Source organism: Homo sapiens, chromosome 16, assembly GCF_000001405.40.
Source record: "Homo sapiens chromosome 16, GRCh38.p14 Primary Assembly".
Lineage (NCBI taxonomy): Eukaryota > Metazoa > Chordata > Mammalia > Primates > Hominidae > Homo > Homo sapiens.
Window position 1 is genome coordinate 21,464,470 of NC_000016.10, and position 25,586 is coordinate 21,490,055.

Genomic DNA, 25,586 nt, shown 5'->3' on the forward strand with positions numbered 1-25,586 from the left:
ATTTAATAAATTTAATAACAGCAAAAGATGCATAGTCTGAAAAGAGTATCTGGCACACCATTCATGAAAGTATTCAGTATGATTATCAAGAAATATAAATTTAAAAGAACAAATACAATCACTATATTCTAAATCAAACATTTCACATTTCACTCAATTTCACTTATATAGCCTGGGGTAAGCAACATTAGGTCCAACTCTTCAGTGACTCAAGTTGTCAAAATTCATTATCAGTGTATTACTTACCTCTTTTTCTTTATGATAACGCAAGAATAGTAGTTTAGATGATGGTATAAACAGTTTTTCTACAAATGATGATGGCAGTTTCGTATTTATCTGTTCAACAATCTAAAAGAATAAAATTTTTAAAAAATGAGCTTCTCAAATTACAAAAAGACATGGAGAAACCTTAAAGGCACACTGGTAAGTGAAAGAAGCCAACTGAAAAGGCTACATACTATATGACTCCAACTACATGGCATTCTGGAAAAGGCAAAACGATGGAGACAGTAAAAAGATCAGGGGTTGCCATGGGCTTAAGATGGGGGGAGGGAGGAGTGGGGAGAGGGAACGAGGAAGGAGTGGGTAGAACATAAAAGATTTTTAGGGAAGTGAAACTATCCTGTATGATACTGGTAATAGGGGAAACATGTCATTACACATGTTAAAGTCCATAGAATACATAACACAAAGTAAACTATAAAATTAGTTAATAATAATATATCAATATTCACTCCTTTGTAATAAATGTACCACACTAACACAATATGTTAATGAGGGGGAAACTGTTGGGATGAAGAAGGTATATGGGAACTCACTGTTTTCTGCTCAATTTTCTGTATATCTAAAAAATGAAGTCTTTTAATTTAGAAAAATATATCTAAGCTATATTTTAAGGCCTTAATACTGTGACATTAAAGTGTTTAGACACCTAAATAGGACACACGTATTTTACAGTTATCATGGGCATTTTTTCACATTAGCAAAGAGAGGTGTAATTCTGGCAGAAATGCTCAGCAGAATGTCATCTAGAATTTGCTTTAAAATAATCCAGTTGGAGATGAAAGGATAGCAAAGAGGCCTAGATGAAACCAGATGGGCCATTTGTTTCTAATTATAGAAGCTGAGTGTTAAATATGTACAAATTTATTATACTATGCTCCCTATTTTTATGTGCTTCAGAACGTCCATAATAAAAGTGGGGGGAGGATATTTATGGTTAAGAAATTAAAGGAGGCCGGCCGGGCGCGGTGGCTCACGCCTGTAATCCCAGCACTTTGGGAGGCCAAGGCAGGCAGATCACGAGGTCAGGAGATCGAGACCATCCTGGCTAACATGGTGAAACCCCGTCTCTACTAAAAATACAATTGTGCCACTGCACTCCAGCCTGGGCAAAAGAGCGAGACTCCGTCTCAAAAAAAAAAAAAAAAAAAAAAAAAAAAAATTAAAGGAGGCCAGGCATGATTGCTCACACCTGTAATCCCAGCACTTTGGGAGGGCAAGGCAGGAGGATTACTTGAGACCAAGAATTTAAGGCCAGCCTAGACAATGTAGCGAGACCCCTTCTCTCCAAAAAATATAAAGGTTAGCCAGGCATGGTGGCATGCATCTGTAGTCCCAGATAGTCGGGAGGCTGAGTGGGAGGATCACTTGAGCCCAGGAGTTTGAGGCTGCAGTGAGCTCTGATTGTACCGCTGCACTCCAGCCAGGGGAATACAGCAAGATCCTGTGACCAAAAAAAAAAGAAAGAAAAGAAAAGAAAAAAAGAAAGAATCTGGTGCGTAGAGCAATGTTTCCTCAGAAAAAACGAGTAAAGCTACAATGAGACTAGCTATCAACCACTAAAAATAGAGGCCTGGCAGAGTGGCTCATGCCTATAATCCCAGTACTTTGGGAGGCCAAGGCAGGTGGATTGCTTGAGCCCAAGAATTCAAGACCAGCCTGGGCAACATGGCAAAACTCCATCTCTACAAAATAATATAAAAAATTAGCCAGGTGTGGTGGTGCACGCCTGTAGTCCTAGCTACCTGGGGGGCTGAGGTGGGAGGATCACCTGAACCCAAGAGGTCAAGGCTACAGTGAGCCAAAATCATGCCACTGCACTTCATCCTGTGCAACGGAGTGAGACCCTGTCTCAAAAAAAAAATTGCATTAAAAATAAAAGTAAATAGACACTAAAATGAAAGCACAGATTATAAGACTGATGAATGTACTCTAAAAAAATTATATAATAAAGCAAAGCCCTTATTTTTTTTCTTTTTTGGAGACAGGTCCTTTTTTGTCACCTTGGCTGAGTGCAGTGGCACAATCAGAGCTCACTTCAACCTCAAGTTCCTGGGCTTAATCGATCCTCCTCCATCAGCCTCCCGAGTAGCTAGGACTGCAGGTGCACACCACTACACCAAGCTAATTTTTGACTTTTTGTACAGATGGGGTCTCACTACATTGCCCAAGCTGTGCCAGAATTCCTGGATGCAAGCAACCCTTCTGCTTTGGCCTCCCAAAGCGCTGGGATTACAAGCATGAGCCACCATACCCAGACAAAGCCCTTAATTTCTTACATATCCATTTAAGGGCCTGAATAAACCAACACATTAAAAAGGAAAAGAATAATTCACATACCAGCGTGAGTAAATTCAAGACTGAGATGATATAATCGGTACCACAAGTCTGGCAATTCTCCAGTTGGTCTAATCCATATGTAATGACCATGTCACAATGTATAGTCATGCTAGGATCCAAGCTGCCGAGCAAAACACCAACACGCTCATTAGCAGCTGTCAACACAGCCTCAGAAAAAAACACCTGGTTTGCAGCCGTCACACATCTCATTACTCTGTACAGAACCTGTAAATGGGGAAAACCAGCAGCTTTTTAAAAAAATTCACGTGCTTCCACAAAGCAAGAAAATACTTTCTATTTAATGCAATTTCAACTGAAAATTAACTGCTTGCCTTGCCAGCAGTCTCTTAATATTCTAGTTCTCAGTAGCTGAATAATAATGATGCCTTTACTACAATATGTAAACATGATCTTGGCTAAAAAATCCTAAAGTGCTACTATGACAGGAAATGGAAGCTGCCATCCTCTATTTCCCACATACCCAACTTCGTTTCTCCCAATGTCACTAAATGGCTGAAGCTCAGAATCTTTATCATGAAATACACCACGACAGTAATGGTATTGACAGCATGGGAATAGCCTGCCCACACATACTACAAGCTAGCTCTTGGGCTTTTGGGAATCAATCTTTCAAAACTGAACATACAAGTCACTTTAAGCTTATTAAAGTTTCTATCTACTGATGGTCTCTTTTGAAAGATAAGCACTCTCATGCTTGCCACATAATATCTTCAAAAATCATATTATTTCCAATACACACACACACAAAATCCCCCACTTAACTATAATGGCCAATAATTGTGTACTAAATTTCTAATAAAATAGGGGAGAAAACAGAGCAAATGTTAAAAAATATTTCTATAATATTTAACAACCAATACATACAGGATTTTATTTAGTCTACCCATAGTTTTCATTAAAAGTATCCTTAGAGGTTGGGCATAGTGACTCACATCTATCATCCTAGCACTTTGAGAGGATTAGCTGGAAGGTTCTCTTGAGTCCAGGAGTTTGAGACCAGCCATGTCAACATAACAACACCTCATCTCTACCAAATTTGTTTCTAAATTAGTTGGGTGTGGTGGCTCACACCAGTAGTCCCACCAACTACTTGAGAGGCTGAGGTGGGAGGATCACTTAAGCCTGGGAGGTCAAGGCTGCAGTGAGCCAAGATCGTGCCACTGCACTCCAGCCTGGGCAACAGAGACCATGTCTCCAAAAAAAAAAGAGTGGGGGGGAGAGGGCGGAGGGGGAAGCATTCTTGGCCATGCATGCACAGTGGCTCATGTCTATAATCCCAACACTTTGGGAGGCTGAGGTGGGAAGACTGCTTGAGGCCAAAAGTTCAAGACCAGCCTGGGAAACACTGAGACCCCATCTCTACAAAAATAAAAAATTAGCAGGAGCTATGCTGGGAGGATCACTTGAGCCCAAGAGATAGAGGCTGCACTGAGTCGTGATGGCACCACCCCACTTTAAAAAGGAAAAAAAAAAAAAAGCTGGGTATGGTGACACCCGCTTGTAGGGCTGAGTGAGGTGGGAAGTTCACCTGGGCCCAAGAGTTCAAGACTACAGTGAGCTATGATTGAACTACTACACTCCAGCCTGGGTGACAGAGTGAGGTTCCAGCTCCAAAAATAAATAAAAAAAATAAAAACCCCACCATTCTACCATTCTCAAAGGCCTAAAAGATCCTCATAAATCAATATACACCTATCCTATAAATTATGTCCCCTTTATTTTATGTCTGAATTAACGGCTTTTTATTTCAACTCTGTACAGTCTTCAAACAACCACCTTTTAGACATTAAAAATGAAGCAAAGATATTAAACCATTTTGAAACCATATTGGTTTAAAATACCGATATGCTGGTTTCATTTATCTTTAAGTTCTGACATTTCTGCTCAAGTACACAACTTACTATATAATCAGTATCCTATTTTATTTAGCAACATGTTCAGCAAAAGTATATGCTCCTAAAAGCAAGTTTTATCCTAACGGTAAAATTTTCATCAGTTAGATTAAATTTTTTATGACGGTATCACACATGCTTCTTTCTCCTTATTCAAAGCAGAGTACAATGCCTGGGGTTCATTTCTTGTGTCTTTTCCACTGAACCCTCACTGGATGTGCTATATACAGTGCAGCTAATGTCTGAGGCTGCTGAAGTGTGGCAATCTAGCTACCTCATTTTTAATTTGTTTATGTTCTTTGATATCAGGCTATCAAAGAATATAAAGATACACAAGTTTTCATATGAGTTCCATCTTATGCTCAGAGAAGATTACTTTCTGAGGCTTCTCCTATAGTGTGCTATTCGTAATATGTTGAAAAACTAAAAGGAAACCCAATAATTTAAAAGTAAAATTATAAGAAATATTATTTAAAAATGAAAGAATGAGATTTAAAAATTCAGAGTGGCCTTTTGTCATGGGAGGGTAGGGGAGTTGGATGAAAGGAGGATGAGCTATAACAGGATTCCCTGCTTTTCTGGTTGTTTAAGAAAGCAGTCAGACAATATATACATATATACATACATACATACATGCTAAACAAATGAAGGATTAATAACAGTTCACCTGGTAAAGAGAAGCATTTACAATGTAAAACAATTTTATTTTTGAATGACACTTCAAATGCCCAAAAGCACTTACATCTGTTACGTATGCCTCAGTAATTGGAGGGCCCGAATTGGGCTGAGGCTTTCCCCAGTGCTCCTCACCACAGTACTAAATACCCGGAGAAGCGCAGCCAGCTTTGGTAATGACACTGATGGAGGAGGGACGTCTTCATCCACTGATTCCCCAGAGGCCACATGGCTGAGGTCCTAGATGTGAATTCACAGCATTCTTAATAAGTAGTACATTGTTTAAAAAAACAAAACAAAAAAAAAAAAAACTCTAAAATATTTCAATCAATTCATTTTAGAATAGATTTTTAGGCTTTTAGAAAGAGAACTGTGGCCCATGAGAATATTCATGACTCTGAATATAAAAATGGGTTTTACCTAATTATTTCAAAAAGCCAACATTAAACCCAATAGACAACAAATTAAGGAAATAATCTCTTAAATCAACTCAGAAAGCTGTTGGGGAAAAATAAATTCTAGCACATATGCTCTAGTTATATGTAGGTATAAATGAAGACGGAAGCTTTTGCCACTCCTGAATTAGTTTTTGGCTAAAAATCTCATTCTAGGTATTCTTTGAGCCACTCAGCTCAACAGTAAGTCCTCCAAACCAAGAGCATGCACATGAAGAGCAAAGGGAGATTACAAGACCTGGTCTACAGATGTGTAACTGAAGAAGTACGATATATGAAAAGGACAAGATTCGCAAAAACTAGGATACCAGAACCAATGTATACATCTACCTAAAATTAAGCACCAAAATAACAGAAGAGAATGAGATCTTAAGGATAACAAGGGGAAGCATCTCTACAAACTAGAATGTGTGGCTTATGAGAGGTAGATCAGCTTTAAACGTGGGCTGTGAAAAAAGACATTCTAGGTGTGGGGGCAAAGAAAAAACAACGCAGAAGCAAAACATTTCCTTGCTTTTCTAGGAAAGAGTAAACACATCAGTACAGCTAAAGGTACTGAATTCCTGTTGACTACAAGCAGCAAAGATGAAAAAAACAAGATGAGGCCAAAATCTTTATGGGAGCCTTGACTGGTTGATCTGAATAGGGGAGAAACACAAAGAGATTCAGATAAGAGATGGCACAGAGTTAAGCCATGACAGTGGGGCCAGAAAAGCCAAGTACCAGTAACAGAGGCTTCAGCAGCGCTCTTAAAGCTCCTATGCTATATTCGTACAGCCACAAAAGCTGGCTGAAGCCAAGGCTTGTCCTCCAAAGTACGATTCAAGATCTCCTGTACATATGTAAGAGGAAAATCTTTAGGAGCTTTTGGTGTTTTGTGTTTTTTTATAACACAACATCAATTTGCTTTAAGACTCTGAAGACTGGGAACAAAAAATAAAAATAAATAACAAAATATGTCTTTAGAAAAATACCAGCTACCGAGAGTATGTAAAGCTTTGCGAAATACGAAGCTTGCAACGTTTCTTTTAGTCTCTCCAGTAATTCTCCTGGTAACTTAAACACATCTGAAATAAATGTTTAAAATACTGACTGGGCACGGGGGCTCATGCCTATAATCCCAGCACTTTGGGAGGCCGACGCGGCTGGATCACCAGTGGTCAGGAGTTTGAGACCAGCCTGGCCAACATGGTGAAACCCCGTCTCTACTAAAAATACAAAAATTAGCTGGGCGTAGTGGCGGGCACCTGTAATTCCAGCTACTCGGGAGGCTGAGGCAGGAGAATCATTTGAACCCAGGAGGTGGAGGTTGCAGTGAGCTGAGATCGTGCCATTGCACTCCAGCCTGAGTGACAGAGCGAGACTCCGTCTCAAAAAGAAAAAATTTTTCAAAATATTGCAATGGGCTTGTAATTTCTGCTTAAATGTCAGGAGGTCTGAGCCATTTTAAAATAAATCTAGCACAATTTAAGATTTTTTCTTAACCAAAATTTTAAGAAACAGCTTTCTATATACTCACCTCAGCATATGCTTCCATGTCTTCTAGAAACTGACCAAGTAGAGGCGTAGAAAATGCAAGATCAGCTACCCAAAATGGCTCCAAACTCTGCAACCACCCTTGGAATCGCGTAAGAAATTGTGAAAGGGTAGGGGGGAGAAAAAACACCAAAAAATCCAAATTAAAAAAAATAAGAGGCTTCTTTTAAAAAGTATCTGGTTTTCAAGCAGCATACCCTAAAACATGTCCTATATCATAAAATTAAGACTGCTAAACATGCTGATCACGATTAACCAATACCTCTTTAATTAATACCTCCTTAATTTCTGCAGAAATTAACAGGTAAATGTTATTTCCTTACTTTTTCAGTAAATTTCATATCTATATTGTCACTACACATGACTTAAGACTAAAATGCCACAATCTACCATTGGCCCGGCTAATCCCAGGGCCACATCTAACCATTAAAGGTGTATACTCATCTCCTCAGTGAAAATGAAACAGACCACTATCACCTGAATATCTTATTTTCAAAAGTTTATTACACCAAGTAAGTTACGAGAAACTATGACACTTGAAACAAGCTGAAATGTGCAAATGAGCCACGCTAGTCATTCACTTAACTCCAAAAAAGTGGGAAACAAAACCACTTCTCATTTATGACAATTCTCCAAATTAACCCTATATTTCCTTTTTTAAAAAAATAACCAGAAAAACAATAAAATGTGACAAATAACTTGGATCTTCCATTGTCCACTTCAGGGTATTGCCACTGCAATATATTCTTACCATATACTTTCCTACCAGTACAAACTACAAATAACTTGGGTAAGTCCTGTCTGTACTTACTCTACCCACCTACTAGTAATTTCCTCTGAAAATATATATTTAGCTAACAAGTCATGTTCATTTACAATAAAACATTTCTCTGAATTAGTTTTCTTGCATTATTAAAGAAATGGTATTGATAGATGGTCACTGGGGGACCACTGCTCCTCCCCGACAGTATTTAAATAACTGGTATAGGCTGCAAGACTTACCAGATACCTGCTGCGTGAGCGAAGGTTTCTGAGTATGATCTCTATGCCATCCAACTAATATACCAACTGTATCCTTGATGGAAACAAAGAGAGAGGGGGCCAATCATTTTAAGATATTACTGCAATCCACCTGTGGACCATTTCACAGCAAAAGATCCTAAAAGGAGCATCTATGTTCTACCTACTTGACATTCTAGAAACTTAGAAAGGGGAGAGGGGCAGGAAAATAAAAGAACTACATTTCTGACAACAATGAAATAGTTTATTTTCTTCAAATATTTTAAGGTACGAACGTCAGAAAGAAAAATGCGGCATTTAACCCTGGAACCTCAAATATCACTGATTATATTCAAAGGAGCAGAGGCACTGTTTTCCATCTGATTCCTCAGTTCCTCACACACACAACCATCCCCCTCACCCCATGATCTGAACAGCGGAATGAGGAACTCACCCTAAAATTAGTGCTGAAAATATGAGGGTAACATCGAGCCACCAAAAGAATGCACTTAACACATTTGCAAAGCAATTCTGGTGTATCCACATTTTCAAGAATTGACTGCAGGCTGGTCATTACAAGCTTAAAAATAAAAGTTACAAACCGTGAACATTCAACAAAATAGGGAGAAAACAAGCAAATTAGGTTCATTATTTACGAAGTGCCTACATAAAAACCTGAGTATGAGACCAAGAAAAATAGATTCTGTAGTTTTAGTTAAAAAAAAAAAGAATTGACTTGTAAATCCCAACTGCTTGGGAGGCTGAGACACAAGAATTGCTTGAACCCAGGAGGCAGAGGTTGCAGTGAGCTGAGATTGCACCGCTGCACTCCAGCCTGGGAAATACAGCCAGACTCCATCTCAAAAAAAAAAAAAAAAATTAATAAATAAATAAAATAAATAAACTGAAAATATTTCGCTCCACTAAGCTGTTAAGCTAAAAACAGATACTGTTTTCTCTTCTTCAATGTTTGTTAATATTAGTCCTTTGACATCAGTTAACATTAGTCCTTAATAACATCTGTTTACAATATCCCTAAATGCTCTCTTTAAGATTCTACCTGTGATTAAATTTCAAATACAAAAAAGTAAAATGGATTTGGGAAACTTTTCTATAAAGTACAACAATTACTTTGCAATCCAAAATATAAAGCAAATTTTATATAATTTATGCTTTAGTATATTAGTACTTGCTTCATATTAAAATTAAGGAAGATCAGTATGGCACCACACATGAATAACATGCAGGCTCAGGTTACCATTATACATAAATTTTTAAAATAAATATATGGCAAAAATAAAATAATAAATAACTATTTGTCATTCCATTGAAAGAATATTTATTTTGCAGCTGTTAAAAAACATTTTTCCCTAAAAAAGGAAAAGCTGTGCTTTACATAGCAATCTTATCAAAGAAATGCTAGAATCAGAAAACCATCATTTTAGGCTGGGTGCAGTGGCTCACACCTGTAACCCCAGCACTTTGGGAGGACGAGGCAGGTGGATCACCTGAGGTCAGGAGTTCAAGACCAGCCTGGCCAGCATGATGAAACTCCGTCTCTACTAAAAATATAAAAATTAGCAGAGCACAGTGGCACATGCCTGTAATCCCAGCTACTCAGGAGGCTGAAGCAAGAGAACTGCTTGAACCTGGGAGGCGGAGGTTGCAGTGAGCCGAGATCGTGCCACTGCCCTCCAGCTTGGACAACAGAGCAAGATTACGTCTCAAAAAAAAAAAAAGAGAAAAAGAAAACCATTATTTTGCAATAGCCAATGTTATAATCTACACAGGCACAGACTATCAATGCTAAAAATCATTTAAAAGACATCTTGGGGTAATTACAGAAATTTGAATATAGAACACATATGTAATAAAATTCATTTTCTTAGGTATGATTACAATATTCTTGTTATACAGAAGAAAAACCTTATTCTTGGGAGATGCATACTAAAACATTATGGGGTGAACTGTCATCATGTGTATGGTTTTCAGATGCTCAACAAAAGTGTGTGAGAAAATAAAACTGTGGCAAAATATTAGTAACTGGTAAATCTAGGTGAAGCATATATTGTGAAATTATTATCGTATTTACAGGTATTTATTTTACTGGTGCATCTATCTTTCTATGAATGTGAGAATTTTCACAAGAGCTGGGAAAATGTTCATAATTATGCATGCAGAATAAGCCCAAGCTGGTGGCATTCTGTTCAGTTACAGGTAATTTTCTGAATCTTCCCTCAAATTTTTCTCAAACCTCTATAATCAAGGGGAAAATGTTTCATTTTGTTTTGCTTTTTTGAGACAGGGTTGCCTATAATGGAGTGCAGTAGCTTGACCATAGCTCACTGTAGCTTCAACCTCCCAGGCACAAGCGATCCTCCTGCCTCAGCCTCCAAGTAGCTGCGATTACAGGTGCATGCCACCATGCCCAACTTATTTTTTTTCCTTTTTTTTTTTTTTTTGTTTGATAGAAACAGGGTTTCACCATGTTGCTCAGGCTGGTCTCAAACTCCTGGACTCAGGCAATTCACCAGCCTCAGCCTCCCACAGTGCTGGGGTTACAGGAGTGAGCCACCATGCCCAGTTAAAAATACATTTTTTATTAAAAAAAAAAAAAAAGAATATTCCTTATATTTCCTTTATATTTTTTAAACTACATACCCAAAATAAAGCATATCAAAAACTGTAAAAAAAAAAAAAAAAAAAAAAAAAAAAAACCCTAATATCAGATATTCCAAACACAACAATACCATAATTTAATCACTTAAAATCTTACTCAAAACTAAATCAATGATCTTTTAGGCCAGGTGTGGTGACTCATGACACTAATCACAGTACTTTGGGAGGCCGAGGCAGGAGGATCACTTGAGGTCAGGAGTTGAAGACCAGCATGGCCAACACAATGAAACCCCATCTCTACTAAAAATACAAAAATTAGCCAGGCTAATGGCACACTCCTGCAATACCAGCTACTCGGGAGGCTGAGGCAGGAGAATCACTTGAACCTGGGAGGCAGAGGTTGCAGTGAGCCGAGATTATGCCACTGCACTCCAGGCTGGACAACAGAGCAAGACACTGCATAAAAAAAAAAAAAAGAATGATATTTTAATATATTCAGATACACAAATATGAAATACAACTAAGTAGAGCCGGTATTCATTTACACATAATTATCTTATACCATTTGGAATAAGAATTTGGGGCACGTTAGCAAACCAAAAGGCTCAGAAAGAAGTTGTGATATTTAGTTCTTGTCTCCCTCTACAAATGTGAAGCACTCTTCTATCCGGCATTACTAGTGGAGTTCCTATTTTCAACTTTGCAAATTCTGGTCCTAAGCAATCTCAAAAAAAACATTTCTAAAAACCAAAGGGGAAAAAAATCTTTTTTTTTTTTTTTTTTTTTTTGAGACAGAGTCTGGCTCTGTCTCCCAGGCAATGGTGCGATCTCGGCTCACTGCAACCTCGGCCTCCCAGGTTCAAGCCATTCTCCTGCCTCAGCCTCCTGAGTAGCTGGGACTACAGGCGCGTGCCACCACGCTCGGCTAATTTTTGTATTGTTAGTAGAGACGGGGTTTCACCATGTTGGCCAGGATGGTTTCGATCTCTTGACCTCATGATCCGCCTGCCTCAGCCTCCCAAAGTGCTGGGATTACAGGCGTGAGCCACCACGCCTGGCGTGTAAGCCAATTTTTTAGAAGAAATCTCTCCCTCTCTCTCCACATATATGCATATATGTATGTAGCACTGATCCTTGAACAGTGTATCCTTTACTCAAACTGAGAAAGAGGAATTTTTAAAACATATTTCCTATCAGTAGATAACCCCTATTCTATGATTCCCTTCTTCAAGCTCCCCTCCAAGGACATGTGTTAAAGGGACAATTTTCTTCCCAAGTATATCATGCATTTTTTCCCCCTTCATTCTTACCTGCATTACAGATGAAAAGGCTTTCTTTTCTCCTACAGTCTCTAGTGCTTTGTAGGTGGCACATAAGTAGAGGAGTTTAACTTCATCTTTTGCAGATGAGCTAAATTTGCTAAAAATCCACTTGAAGATCTTCTCAGCCTCATAGCTCAGAGAAGCACAAAGAAGGCCGAGACAGCAAGCTCCCTCCTGTCTCAACTCCTGAAGCAATTTGCTACTGTGTTTATTTTAATGCAAACAAAAAACACACACAAAAGGCTTAAGTTTTCTATGATGACACGAGTAATACATCTTACAAAAGAATGTCTTAAGTGGTTTTTTAAATTTCTATTCAAACTACATAAAAGGTTGAAATTTTCTCCACTCTAAATACTACATTCTGTCTAGCCTGCATTGCCCTCAAGTATCTGTCTGACATCACTTTCTTTTTACAAAATCAATTATTTACAAACAGTGAGGGAAGGCCCAAAAATGCTAAATTCCATCTCAAACTGTATTAAATAACTCTCAGAAAAGGGCAGCAACAAATAAGTAGATAAAACACTCTATACATAACTACATTCTACATAATATCCAATATGTAATGACTATAAAATAAAAAATGGTAATAGTTAAATACAGAAACTTAAAAGGATAACAGTAATGATTTACATAGAACTTTAATAAGTAACTCTATAAAACAAAACCATCAAAAGGCACTAAGGTTTATGACCAGCTGAGATAAATTTTGGGTACTTGCCAACACTGCAAATCTTTGGGAATCACCATAACAAAAAATGACCACACACCTCTGGAGACTCTAATAGCCAGAGAATATATGGTTTGGATCCACTCTTACCCAAAGAAGGAAATTCCTTTTTACCTCTATTCTCTAAGCAGTTTCAAATTCTCTTGTTTACAAAAACTAATTTTATTCTTCATGCCTGCATCAAGAGTTTATGCCATTCCATAAGTCAAGACTCAGTTATCCAGTGAGACTAGCAAATTAAAAAAATAAAATATTCCAGCCAGGCACGGTGGCTCATGCCTGTAATCCCAACACTTTGGAAGGCTAAGGTGGGTGGATCACCTGAGGTCAGGAGTTCCAGACCAGCCTGGCCAACATGGTGAAACCCTGTCTCTACTAAAAATACAAAAATTAGCTGGCAGTTGTGGTGCACGCCTGTAGTCCCAGCTACTCGGGAGGCTGAGGCAGGAGAATCACTTGAACCCGGGAGGTGGAGGTTGCAGTGAGCTGAGATCGCACCACTGCACTCCAGCCTGAGCGACAGGGTGAGACTCCGGCTCAAAAAATAAATATTCTTTTCAAGTGGATTCCATTTGTATTCAACCGTAATTAACACATAATTAATGCAGATAAAAATGACAAGACCCACTGTAATGTCAATAAATGTTCATAAACAAAGCCAGTGGGTTTGTCTTCTTGTGTATTGTTAAGTAATTTCTAAAAATATATTTTAAAGTCATTTAAACCGAACCATTATTAGTTACTTACCTTTCATTAAGCACATCATGTACAGCAGCCAAGATATCCAATTGTTTAACTAGTACCTTTAAAAGAAAACACATTTATAAAAACTTCAAATTCCTATACTTTTAAGAATAGCATTGTGTACTTTTTTATTTGTCTTCCCTCCAAATTCTAATTCAACAGTACTTTACTTTCTTTATTATTCCCACTCCCCAATGAGCATGTATCAGGAATGTCATGTTTCCTTTCAGCCTATGAAAGAAATTCACCCACTGGAAACATAGAGCTGTGATCATCAACAAAAAAATAAACTCAAAAAGCTTGTTTCATTTACTTTGAAATCCATTTGAAAAATTGACTGACGGATGGAGGGATAGATGGAGAGATATGTGACAAGGCAGTATTTAGGGTAAAATGTTAACGACAAAAATTAGATGATGGGTTTAACAGATTCAATGTCAAATTCTTTCAACTTGCTATATATTTGAAACTACTCATAATAAAATTTGGAAGGAGGAGAAACTTGCTTTGATCCAAGTGTCATCTGCCTCACTAGACCATTTTCATTAATTTTCTCCTGCTCATTGTCAAGTTCTTTTTTTTTTTTTAAGATGGAGTTTCACTCTTTTCGCCCAGGCTGGAGTGCAATGGCGTGATCTCAGCTCACTGCAACCTCCGTCTCCTGGGTTCAAGCGATTCTCCTGCCACAGCCTCCCATGTAGCTGGAATTACGGTCATGTGCCACCACACCCAGCTAATTTTGTATTTTTAGTAGAGATGGGGGCTTCACTATGTTGGGCAGGCTGGTATCGAACTCCTGAACTCAGGTGATCCACCCACCTTGGCCTCCCAAAATGCTGGGATTACATGCATGAGCCACCACACCTGGCCCATATCAAGTTCTTAATTGGTGTAAAGAAAGTGAAGAAAAAAATTTAACCCTTCCTATACTTTGTTACATTTCTGTTGTTGTTTTAAGAGACAAGGACTCCCTCTGTCGCCCAGGTTGACATGCAGAGGTGTGATCATATCTCACTGCAACCCTGAATTCCTGGGCTCAAGTGATTCTTCCACCTCAGCCAGGTGTAGTGGCACATGCCTGAAGTCCCAGCTACTCAGGAGGCCACAGCGGGAGGATAGCTTGAATCCAGGAGTTTGAGACTGCAGTGAGCTATGATTGTGCCACTGCACTCCAGCCTGGGCGACAGAGCAAGATCTTGTCTTTAAGAAGAAAAAGAAATTACATATTAGAGAGCATTAAGTTCTTGATCATCATAATACAGACTTTCCCCATTCTTAAACTACTCAAGGTAGCATTACCTAGTTTATTATGGAAACACAAAAATCCTCATATTTCCAAACATACTATACTTACCAGCTTATTTTCTGGTTGCTGAATAAATTCTTTCAACTGCTTTACAGTAGCCAATCTTCGGTCTCGGTCGTTTTCCCGGGTGATCCTCTGAAGAAGATTTGACAGTCGAGACTCATCACAATAAGACATTGATCTCTCTGTGAATATATAAACATTTTGTTGTCCACTGAGTATAAATAAGCAAAGGAAATTTTAAATTTTAAAATAATTTTAAAATTTTTAAAATTAAAAATTATTTAAATAATAATTAAATTATTATGGGGGCTCATGCCTGTAATCCCAGTACTTTGGAAGGCGGGTAGATCACATGAGTTCAGGAGTTTGAGACCACCCTGGGCAACATGGTGAAACCCTGTCTCCACAGACACACAAAAAATTACATAAACTAGCCAGCCAAGGTGGGGTGCACCTGTAGTCCCAGCTACTCGGGAGGCTGAGGCAGGAGAATCACTGGAGCCCGTGAGGCGGAGGTTGCAGTGAGCCAAGATCACCCCATTGCACTCCAGCCTGGGTGACAGAGCAAGACCCTCTCTCAAAAATAAAATTACATCAAAAGTCACAGTCCACTGGTCAATAAAAGCTCAGGGAATATAGGTCCTATCGCTCTTTTGTTCAACTCTGTATTCCAAATCCCAGCAGAGTGCCTGGCACATAACAGACCCTCAAAAAAATATTTGCTGAAGGAAACAAGAAATGAATAACCCTAGGCCAACTGAACACCTCATTCCAGAGGACTGGCTGGGAGAGAAAAAAGAAAGGCCTTAGTAACAACTTTCTTTGGGTCCATTCCAAACTGTTTTCAACATGCAGGTAAAGAGCCCGGGTGTAGGTAAATTAAACAACTTCCAAGGGGTATGGATAAAGTCTCAATCGAGTAAAAACAGGATATAGGCTTCTACTTATCATCTAGGTATCCCACTGGAGGAAAGCCTCTTATTCACATTATCATCATTTCCCTGGGATGAAGTTTTGGGGAGCCATAATCACACATTTAGTTCAACAAATGTCTAATTATCATCTACCACATGCAAGGCATGCCTCCACTAGAAAGGTAGCAAACCACAACTTTTCTCCCTTTATTTTTTAATCACAAGAACAAGCAAACAATAGTGAATACTATTAGTATATTAACGATGCCTTTAAAAACTAGATTTTTGCTGGGCGAGGTGGCTCTTGCCTGTAATTACCCAGCACTTTGGAAGGCCAAGGCAGGCAGATCACTTGAGCACAGGAGTTCGAGACCAGCCTTGGCAACATGGTACAACCCCATCTCTACGAAAAATACAAAAATTAGCTGGGCACAGTGGCACATGCCTGTAATCCCAGCTACTCAGGAGGCTGAGGTGGGAGGATCGCTTTAGCCTGGGAAGCAAAGGTTGCAGTGAAATCACACTAGCGCATTCCAGCCTGGGTGACAGAGCGAGACTGTCTCAAAAAACAAAACAAAACAAAAAACTCAATTTTTGCAAAACATTTTCAACTGTGCTATTTACCATAATTAGCCAATACATACGTAAACAACAAATCACAAAGGGTCTGACAGTTTCATTTCTAAGGTATGAGAAAAAATTGATAATAAAAGAAACCAGAAGGCTGGGCATGGTGGCTCACACCTGTAATCCCAGCACTTTGGGAGGCCGAGGAGGGCAGATCACGGGGTCAGGAGTTGGAGACCTGCCTGGCCAACATGGTGGAACCTCGTCTCTACTAAAGATACAAAAAATTAGCCGGGGCCGGGCGCGGTGGCTCACGCCTGTAATCCCAGCACTTTGGGAGGCCGAGGCGGGCGGATCACGAGGTCAGGAGATCGAGACCATCCTGGCTAACAAGGTGAAACCCCGTCTCTACTAAAAATACAAAAAATTAGCCGGGCGTAGTGGCGGGCGCCTGTAGTCCCAGCTACTTGGGAGGCTGAGGCAGGAGAATGGCGTGAACCCGGGAGGCGGAGCTTGCAGTGAGCCGAGATCCCGCCACTGCACTCCAGCCTGGGCGACAGAGCGAGACTCCGTCTCAAAAAAAAAAAAAAAAAAAAAAAAAAAATTAGCCGGGCGTGGTGGCACGCTCCTGTAATCCCAGCTACTCGGGAGGCTGAGGCAGGAGAATCACTTTAATCTGGGAGGTGGAGGCTGCAGTGACCTGAGATCGCGCCATTGCACTCCAGCCTGGGTGACAGGGAGATACTCCATCTCATAAATAAATAAATAACTACAAGGGGGAACAACACACACTGGATCCTTTTGGAGGGTGGGGGGTGGGAGGAAGGAGAGGATCAAGAGAAACAACCAATGGGTACCAGGCTTAATACCTGGGTGATAAAATAATCTATACTACAAACCCTCATGACACAAGTTTACCACTGTAACAAATCTGCACTTGTATCCTGAATTTAAGTTAAAAAAAAAAAAGAAACTACAATGACTGAGAGAAGAATAGGATTTTTACAAATCCGTAGCCCATAGAGTATTTCAATAAGGACAGATACCAAATATGTCATCAAGTTACCAGCTGGGAAATTAGGCTCTACTTACAATTCTGTCACTAGCAAACTACATGACCCTGAGCCTTTGAAGAAGAGGAATTCTCTACTGAACTACTTTAGAGTCGCTGTTTAGCTTCTATAATATCATAAGTCTAAGGCTTCAAACACTCTATTTTAACAAACAGCATACATAGCCTTTGAATTCATTCCACTTGTGAAAACATAAAAAGAAATCAGTTTTTTAAAAGTTATATACCAACAATAAAAGCTACAGGCACAAAGATTTTCACCAAGATACACGAAGCACACACACAGTATAAAAAATAAAAAAAAAAAGTCAAAAACTAAACGTCCAAAAAGTAATTACATCTGACAAAGCCCATAACTCAGCTTTACCGATAAGTTTCTCTTTAAGGAAAAAAATTATCATTACCTCTAATCCTCTGAACTTTCTTTTTTGTTGTTGTTGTTTTGAGACGGAGTCTCGCTCTGTCGCCCAGGCTGGAGTGCAGTGGCGCACTCAGCTCACTGCAAGCTCTGCCTCCCGGGTTCACACCATTCTCCTGCCTCAGCCTCCCGAGTAGCTGGGACTACAGGCGCCCGCCACCGCGCCCAGCTAATTTTTTGTATTTTCAGTAGAGACAGGGTTTCACCGTGTTAGCCAGGATGGTCTCGATCTCCTGACCTCGTGATCTGCCCGTCTCGGCCTCCCAAAGTGCTGGGATTACAGGCGTGAGCCGCTGCACCCGGCCAATCCTCTGAACTTCCAAGGCACTCACCTATACAGTGAGGCTATGTCATAAGGCAGAAATGCTATCAGTGTATTTAACTTTAGAAAAGTGCCCACTCAAGGCAGGGCCCGGTGGCTCACGCCTGTAATGAGCACGTGTGATCACTTGAGGTCAGGAGTTCGAGACCAGCCTGGCCAACATGGTGAAACCCTGTCTCCACTAAAAATGCAAAAATCAGCTGGGTATGGTGGTATGCACCTGTAATCCCAGCTACTTGGGAGGCTGAGGCATGAGAATCACTTGAACCTGGGAGGCGGAGGTTGCAGTGAGCAGAGATTGCAGCACTGCGCTCCAGCCTGGGTGACAGAGCAAGACTCTGTCTCAAAAAAATATATTGAAAACAACAACAACAAAAAAACCAGAAAAGTACCCACTCTAGGGGGCGGGGGGAAGGAGAGCATCAGCAAGAATAGCTTAATGGATGCTGGGTTTAATACCTAGATGATGAGATGATCTGTGCAGCAAACTACCATGGCACACGTTTACCTACATAACAAACCTGTACATCCTGCACATGTACCCTGAACTTAAAAGAGAGAAAAAAAAAAAAAAAGACAGAAAAGTACCCCCTCTCTACATATATCTATATCCTCCACAGGCCCAAGAGTTCAAGGACTTGCTGTAGTAGGAGCCTACTATGCACTATACATTCAATATCCACGATAATTGGGTAAACCTTTTCTGTAAGATCTTATCCAGTCTTCTAATCTTGTTTTAAGAGAATTCTCTTTTAAAATGTACTATAGCCTTTCTAGTGGGAAATTAACAATTCACAGGAAAAGAATGTAAACAATTTTTACCTGCACAGTAGACTAATCAACTTATGCCTTTGCAAGGCATTAGTAAGAGGCATCCAGAATAAGAGGAGATACAAGTCTTTGGAAGGTGTATGTGATTGGTCCCCGTTTTCCCAGCCTTACCCTGTGATTTCCTCATGTCTTTGGTGGCTAAAGCACAACTGCCATGCTGAACACTGGTGAACTCAGGGCTGGTCACATTGTTAACCCTCAGCTCTTGCCCCAATGACTTCCGACCATAAGTATTTTCCCCAGATCCCCCATTGACACCGTAGCCACCTACAAACAGCCATGTGTACGTCATTTAAATATGATTGTTCGTTTCATTCAGTCAATTTCCTGATAGCTCAGGATCTTATGACTCAATCTGCAGCTCAACCAGCCTTTGCTTCTCCTACCTTTTTCCTGTACTGTCTGCCTTGAAAATCATTTTCATTTCTTTTAATACACCTTTGAAGTTAAATTAATTTTATTTTGATCCCTTCATTGGAAAATAAGCAAAGAAATGAAAACTAAATTAAATCAAATTTTGCACCTTGTTTTAAAACTTTCTTGAAGTTTAGAGACAGTAGCCAAGAGGAACTTCAACCTTAGCTAAATATTTTTGAAAATAAAAACAAAAATAGTATTGTATCTTTTTTGTAAGAAAACTGCATTGATGAATTATGTATGGAAAAATTTTAAATTTTAAAAATAATAAAGTGGATAAACGTCCTATGAAGTTTTCAGAAATAACACTGCATTTGTTATTCATATTTTAAATATATTAGAAGAAAGTGAGAAAGTTGGGGGTGTAAGAAGGCAGGAAGGTGGGATAGGTAGGTTCAAAAAACATGCTTGTAGCAATAAGAAAATATATATACCCTTTTCGTCATTCTGTATGTCAGCGTGGACTCTGGTATCATCGTGCCTTTGCCGAGACACCACAGCTGAATTTGAAGGTTGCAGTCCGTAAGAGGAAGAACCACCTCTATCTCTGGATGAAGAATATTTTAAATTACCTGGGTCGGCTGATGCACTATCAGTTCTATAAAAAGAGAAAAGTTTAAGATTAGAACTTTAAATAACATAAATAAATCTTTCTTTAAACAAGCCTCTCTTCTCCCAAATTTTACATTTAACCATTACTATTGTATTTAGTGTAATATGCACTATATATTATATGTAAGCACTCAGCCGTCTAATAAGAAGTCTTTCACTGGGAAGAGAGTCTCAATGGATGAAATGCCAACTTTTCACTCTCTTCTACTGTTCTAAAGACCCATTCAGAAATATGAATAACTACTGGGATTAGGGTGACTTTGCTGGTTTTAGCATTGAAAGTCTCCTGTCCCAGGCAAAACAGGACAATTGGTTACTCTGGTCCAGTGTTCTCCTCACATGACTTGATAATAAGAATAATTCTTTCTAAATTCTCCCCCATGGAGACGGTTAATCAGTCAAAACATTTCAGCCTTTCCTGTCATAAAAATAAAAAACACTGGCAGCATGTCAGGGACGGGCAATGTCTTACCAAGTTATTTTCTAAGTACTGATTAGGTACTGTAGTATTGAAGACCCCATTGAAGATGCCTTAATTGTAAAGAGTAGCAATCAAAATTTTAAAAAGTAAAAAAGAAGACATTTTAAGAAAATAAAAGGTATCAGAAATGCAATAAAGTTATATCAGAAAGTTGTAGTTCGTAATCTATTTAAAATTCAGGTACTGTTTAGAATAATACCTGATGCTTATTAGTAAACAAGTAGGGTACAGCCAAGGGTAAAAGTGTGTCCTCATCTAAGTATCTGCTCTATGCTTCAACTGCCTCATAAGTAAAACAGAGCTGAGTTACAAGACTTCTCATGAGTGTTACTCTTTCAGCCATCAATCATAAACTATCAAGAAAGAAGACAACAAAATAATCTGTTATAGCATATGAAAAATCCAAGTAAGTTCTTCCCCTACTGATTTTCTCCTGAGAGGAACAATTTTGAGGAAAAAAAAAAAGAAAAAGAAAAAGAAAATCACTTCTATGATATTTACTAAAAATGCTTTCTCAACCTTTTAGAACCTGAATCTTTTAGAAAAGTTTAGGACACTGGCAAGGCCAGAAACTAACCTATTCCTCTACGCTTTGCCCCTCCCTCTATGGTGTAAAAGTGACAGCAGTGTTTGTATACTGTATATATTTCGTTTAGAGTTTATTAGTCTTTCCTTGCTCCCAAAAATACTAAACATAAAACTTTGCATGAGCTCAATCAGTTGGACACCTTGATCTGCACTTACTGCAATCACTGTTAATACAGAATGCAGACAATAGGTCCAATTAAACTTGGATATCTAACTGGTACAAGTCATTACTTATAAAGGATCTCAATCTGAAACTTCATGAAATTCAAAACCTAGCATACTAAAATGACTAAGGCTCCATAAGGAGTATCTTCTAATATTCAGAGTTCACTTATTCATAAAGCTAAGTACTTCGAACATAAGGGAAAATAAAATCTATGGAATTTCAAGAAAAATGTATGAGAATATTTTCTGAGTATACTAAGTCTATAAGCATTAAAATATTAACTCAATGGACCATAACTTTTTTAAACTAATGAAAAGACATTCCTTATGTACCTAAAAATAGCACACTTAACATGCGTCTATATAAATCATAGCATACCATTACTTTCTGAAAGGAGACTGAAACGTTAAGAGAGCTTATAATCTTTTCTGACAGGGTTTGAACTTTATATGTATGCCACAGTAAGCTCTTATTAGATGAGCGAATAAAATAAGCACTTGACTAATTCAGAAACACAAAGATAACTGAAGTCTGCCAATATTTAAACGTATCTTCACTTCCTGTTTTCATCATGTTTACTTATCTCCTACACTACCTTTACTATTAAGAGTTAAATGTTTGTATCATTTTCTGGTGACACAGTAGTACCATAAGGCAGCAGAGAATACAAGTTAAAAAAAGATCTGGGCTCAAATCCCAGCTCCAGCACTGAAAAGTATGTGTGCTTTTGCACAAATTACTTGATCTCCAAGCCTTGGTTGTCTCTTGCATAAAATGAGGATGATACCTATCTAACATGTAAGGTTGTTGTGAGGCTGAAATAAGATAATGAATTATAAAGAAACACTTAGTTTGCAGGGTATGTTAAAAGTTGTTATGACCATAATACAAAATAAACTCAAAGTTTCCAGTCTAAAAGACAATGTACAAACAGTTCATGAGTATATGAATATAATCAAAACAAGTTTTTACAGTCAATATAGAGCAACTTAAATACTTCACTGAAGAAAGCAGGTAATCTGTTGCTACCAACAATGTGTTTCCAACTAGGAAGCATCTGATTTCAAACTAAACTGTAAAACCAGGAGCAGCTTCCCCGTTGGTTAGAAATAAGGTTTCTAAATCCCCTAAGTTATGAACACTGAGATTTTTTTCCCAAAAAAAATCTGTTTTCAGAAATATAACAAAAAAAACTGGAATAGAGCCACCGTCTCAGAAATACCTCAAAACTCCCTAGTTGCCAAATTATTTTAATACAAATTGATCAAAGCATCCCCAACCAGAACTCAGGTTGTAAGCATTCTGAACCTAAAAGCACAAAATGGTTTAGCATTTATAAGAAATTTCTATTTTTATACAATCTTGACTGCTTTGGTTTCAAAAAATGTCAATGTCAGGCTGTTAGCACCAACAAGATCATCCCAGTCCAATAAATAGAGAACTGTTAAAGAAGGGAAATGAGCACTTAAAATGAGGCAATCAAAGCCACAAAATAGAAACTGCAGATTTGAACTCCAAGAAGCAGGCATGAATGTTAAGACTAGTTAGTTAGAAGAGCTGAAAGGGATATCATCTGCCAGAATTAGTGTCTCAATTTAGTGAAAAAAGAAAATCTATCTGTTAAGTCTAAGAATCCTAGCAAGGATCCAAAAATACCTCTACAGCCCCTTTAATATTCTAAAAATATCATGGAGAGAAAAAAAAAGAAATGCATAAATTTCCCCAAAACGATCAAACTGAAGTTAAAGCCTGATGTACATGCCACATGAGAGGTAAGTTTCTAAAGCTCATACCTCAAAAATCGCCTTTGTGATGTTGTGCATCAAGTCAATCTGTAAGACAGTAGTTACAATATTAGTGAAGACAGTGGGTTAAAACATTTGTTGTTCAAACATGGAGCAAATATCATTCATGAGTTAGGTGCCTTTAGTTGAACTATGGTCCCATTAGGGTTCATACATTAAAGCAAAAATTGAGGTGGAAAGACACTCTGTGCCTTACAGGATAAAGAGGCTTACTGTGGCAACCAAAAAAATTTTAGTACATAAGAGAATTTAAATGTTAACTATAACATACAAATCACATGCAAATATAGTTACCACTTATTTTAGTTACCTATTCTCAATATACAGAAAAATGCCACAAATCTAGGAGGCCATTCGTTTCAAATGACCGGAATCCTTAGACCTCACACCAACAAGCCACCATGTGCTGGGGATGGTATCGCCTGACTAAATGTAGCCTTGCAGTCCATTCTTGTAAGTATTAGAGAGAAAAAGAGAGAGAGCGTCGTCTCTGGAAAGTGTGAAGTCAGGGAATTCCCTACTAGGAAGCAATTCCATAAAGCACCCCAAAATGACTTGATGCAAACACCACACCTAGTGGTGACACTGGAATAAGCATCATATTACTTCAAATTGCTTTTACCTAGGTTTATTAAGGGATTTTGCTCTCATGGTGAGATCTAATTTGTAATGGATATAAACCAGGAAATGAGATTTGCACTAAAGCCAATGAAGTAGGAATGTACTTATTCTCTAAAGCAGCAAAGATAGTCTCACTGTCACAGAGCAGTTATAGGATATGTTGCTTTCCATACTAATGGTTAATACCACTTGGAAATGATTTACCCTTCAAAAATAAATTCAAGGTTTTCCCCTGTAATGCCTCTTACCTGGATTCAAACATGCTTTAATGAGGAATAAGAGAAAGGGTGAAACTATGAATAACCCTGGGCCTTGTATCATTACATTAGAAACACTGCTCTAAATATGAGTCTATGGCTAAAATATTAATTTGGGAGGCTCAGGGAATTTATTATACAAATCTCTTCTTGCAGAGAACTTTAAGTTCAAATTTAATAAAACAAAACAGAACCATTCCATGTCAAAATTGTAAATGAGTATGCATCAGTTTTGCAATACTGAAATATTAAATTACTATAATTTATTGGTAAAACTACCTTAGCTACCTAAGTATTAAGTGTCTATAATAACCAAATCTTAATTATCCATTTATGGGTGATTTGTTTCCTTTTTTGAGACAGGGTCTCACTCTGTCACCCAGGCTGGAGTGCACTGGCATGACCATAGCTCACTGCAGCCTCGACCTCATGGGTGCAGCCTCGACCTCATGGGTTCAGCCTCTCAAACAGCTGGGACCACAGGTGCATGCCACTCCATTTAGCTAATTTTTTATTTTTATGTTTTTTGGAGACAGGTGTCTGATTATGTTGCTCAGGCTGCTCTCAAATTCCTGGACTCAAGCAATCCTCCCACCTCAGCCTCCCAAAATGCTAGGATTAGAAGCATGAGTGACCACATCTGGACTGTCACCAATTTTTAACTGTCTGTCAACTAAACAGCCAATATAGACTGATAAAATATATTTAACTATTGTAAAATTGTAAAGAATTGTATCTTCACCAAGGAGAGGTCTGGCTTTTACCTGTGAATTCTGGAAGGTAATCTCTAAACTCTTGAAATGTCATACCTAATAAGAGGGTCCTGGCCAGGAGCAGTGGCTCACACCTGTAATCCCAGCACTTTGGGAGGCCAAGGCGGGCAGATCGCTTGAGGTCAGGATTCTGAGACCAGCCTGGCCAGCATGGTGAAACCTGTCTCTACTAAAAATACAAAAATTAGCCAGGCATGGTGACGGGCACCTGTAATAATCCCAGCTACTCAGGAGGCTGAGGTTTCAGTGAGCTGAGATCATGCCACTGCACTCCAGCCTGGGCAACAGAGCAAGACTATCTCCAAAAAAAAAGGGGGGGGGGCGGCGGTGGGGGAAAGTGTCCTTGTTCATCTGGGGGCTTTAGGCCACAGCACAGTCTAATAATGTGGCTTATGGTGGGGGCTTTGAGTCACATGGATCAGCTTGGCCTCCAGTGGGGCTGGAGACTAAGGTTAGCCACATGGGCATGCAACCATGGAACCCCAGTAAAAACGCTGGACATAAAAAATAGAGTGAGCTTCCCTGGTTGGCAATAATCCATGAGTATGGTCGCACACCAGTGCCACCAGGAAGGTGTCATTTTTCACAACTCTACAGGGACAGGACAATTAGAAACTCCAACATTTGGAACTTCCCCGAACTCTGCCCTATGCACCTCTACCCTTGGCTCGTTCTAATCTGAATCCCTAAACTGCAATAAACTCTAACCACGGGTATGAGAGCTTTCAATGAGTTCTAGTGAGTCCTCCTGGCAAATCATCCAACCTAAGAGTGGTCTTGGCCAGGCACAGTGACTCAAGCCTGTAATCCCAGCA

General features: G+C 38.9%; 1 pseudogene across 1 annotated transcript in view; it reads right to left on the reverse strand.

Annotated features, from left to right (window-relative positions):
* The window catches only part of SMG1P3 (SMG1 pseudogene 3), a 55,599-nt pseudogene that overhangs the window by 17,787 nt on the left and 12,226 nt on the right, over positions 1–25,586 (reverse strand). Inside the window, exons 2-12 of the transcript NR_027155.2 lie at positions 19,903–20,066; positions 19,163–19,318; positions 14,973–15,109; positions 13,622–13,677; positions 12,130–12,343; positions 8,655–8,780; positions 8,204–8,276; positions 7,185–7,282; positions 5,278–5,450; positions 2,623–2,847; positions 247–348 (exon numbers count right to left, since the gene is read on the reverse strand). The product of NR_027155.2 is annotated as an SMG1 pseudogene 3 (transcript). The remainder of the gene's footprint in view (positions 1–246; positions 349–2,622; positions 2,848–5,277; positions 5,451–7,184; positions 7,283–8,203; positions 8,277–8,654; positions 8,781–12,129; positions 12,344–13,621; positions 13,678–14,972; positions 15,110–19,162; positions 19,319–19,902; positions 20,067–25,586) is intronic.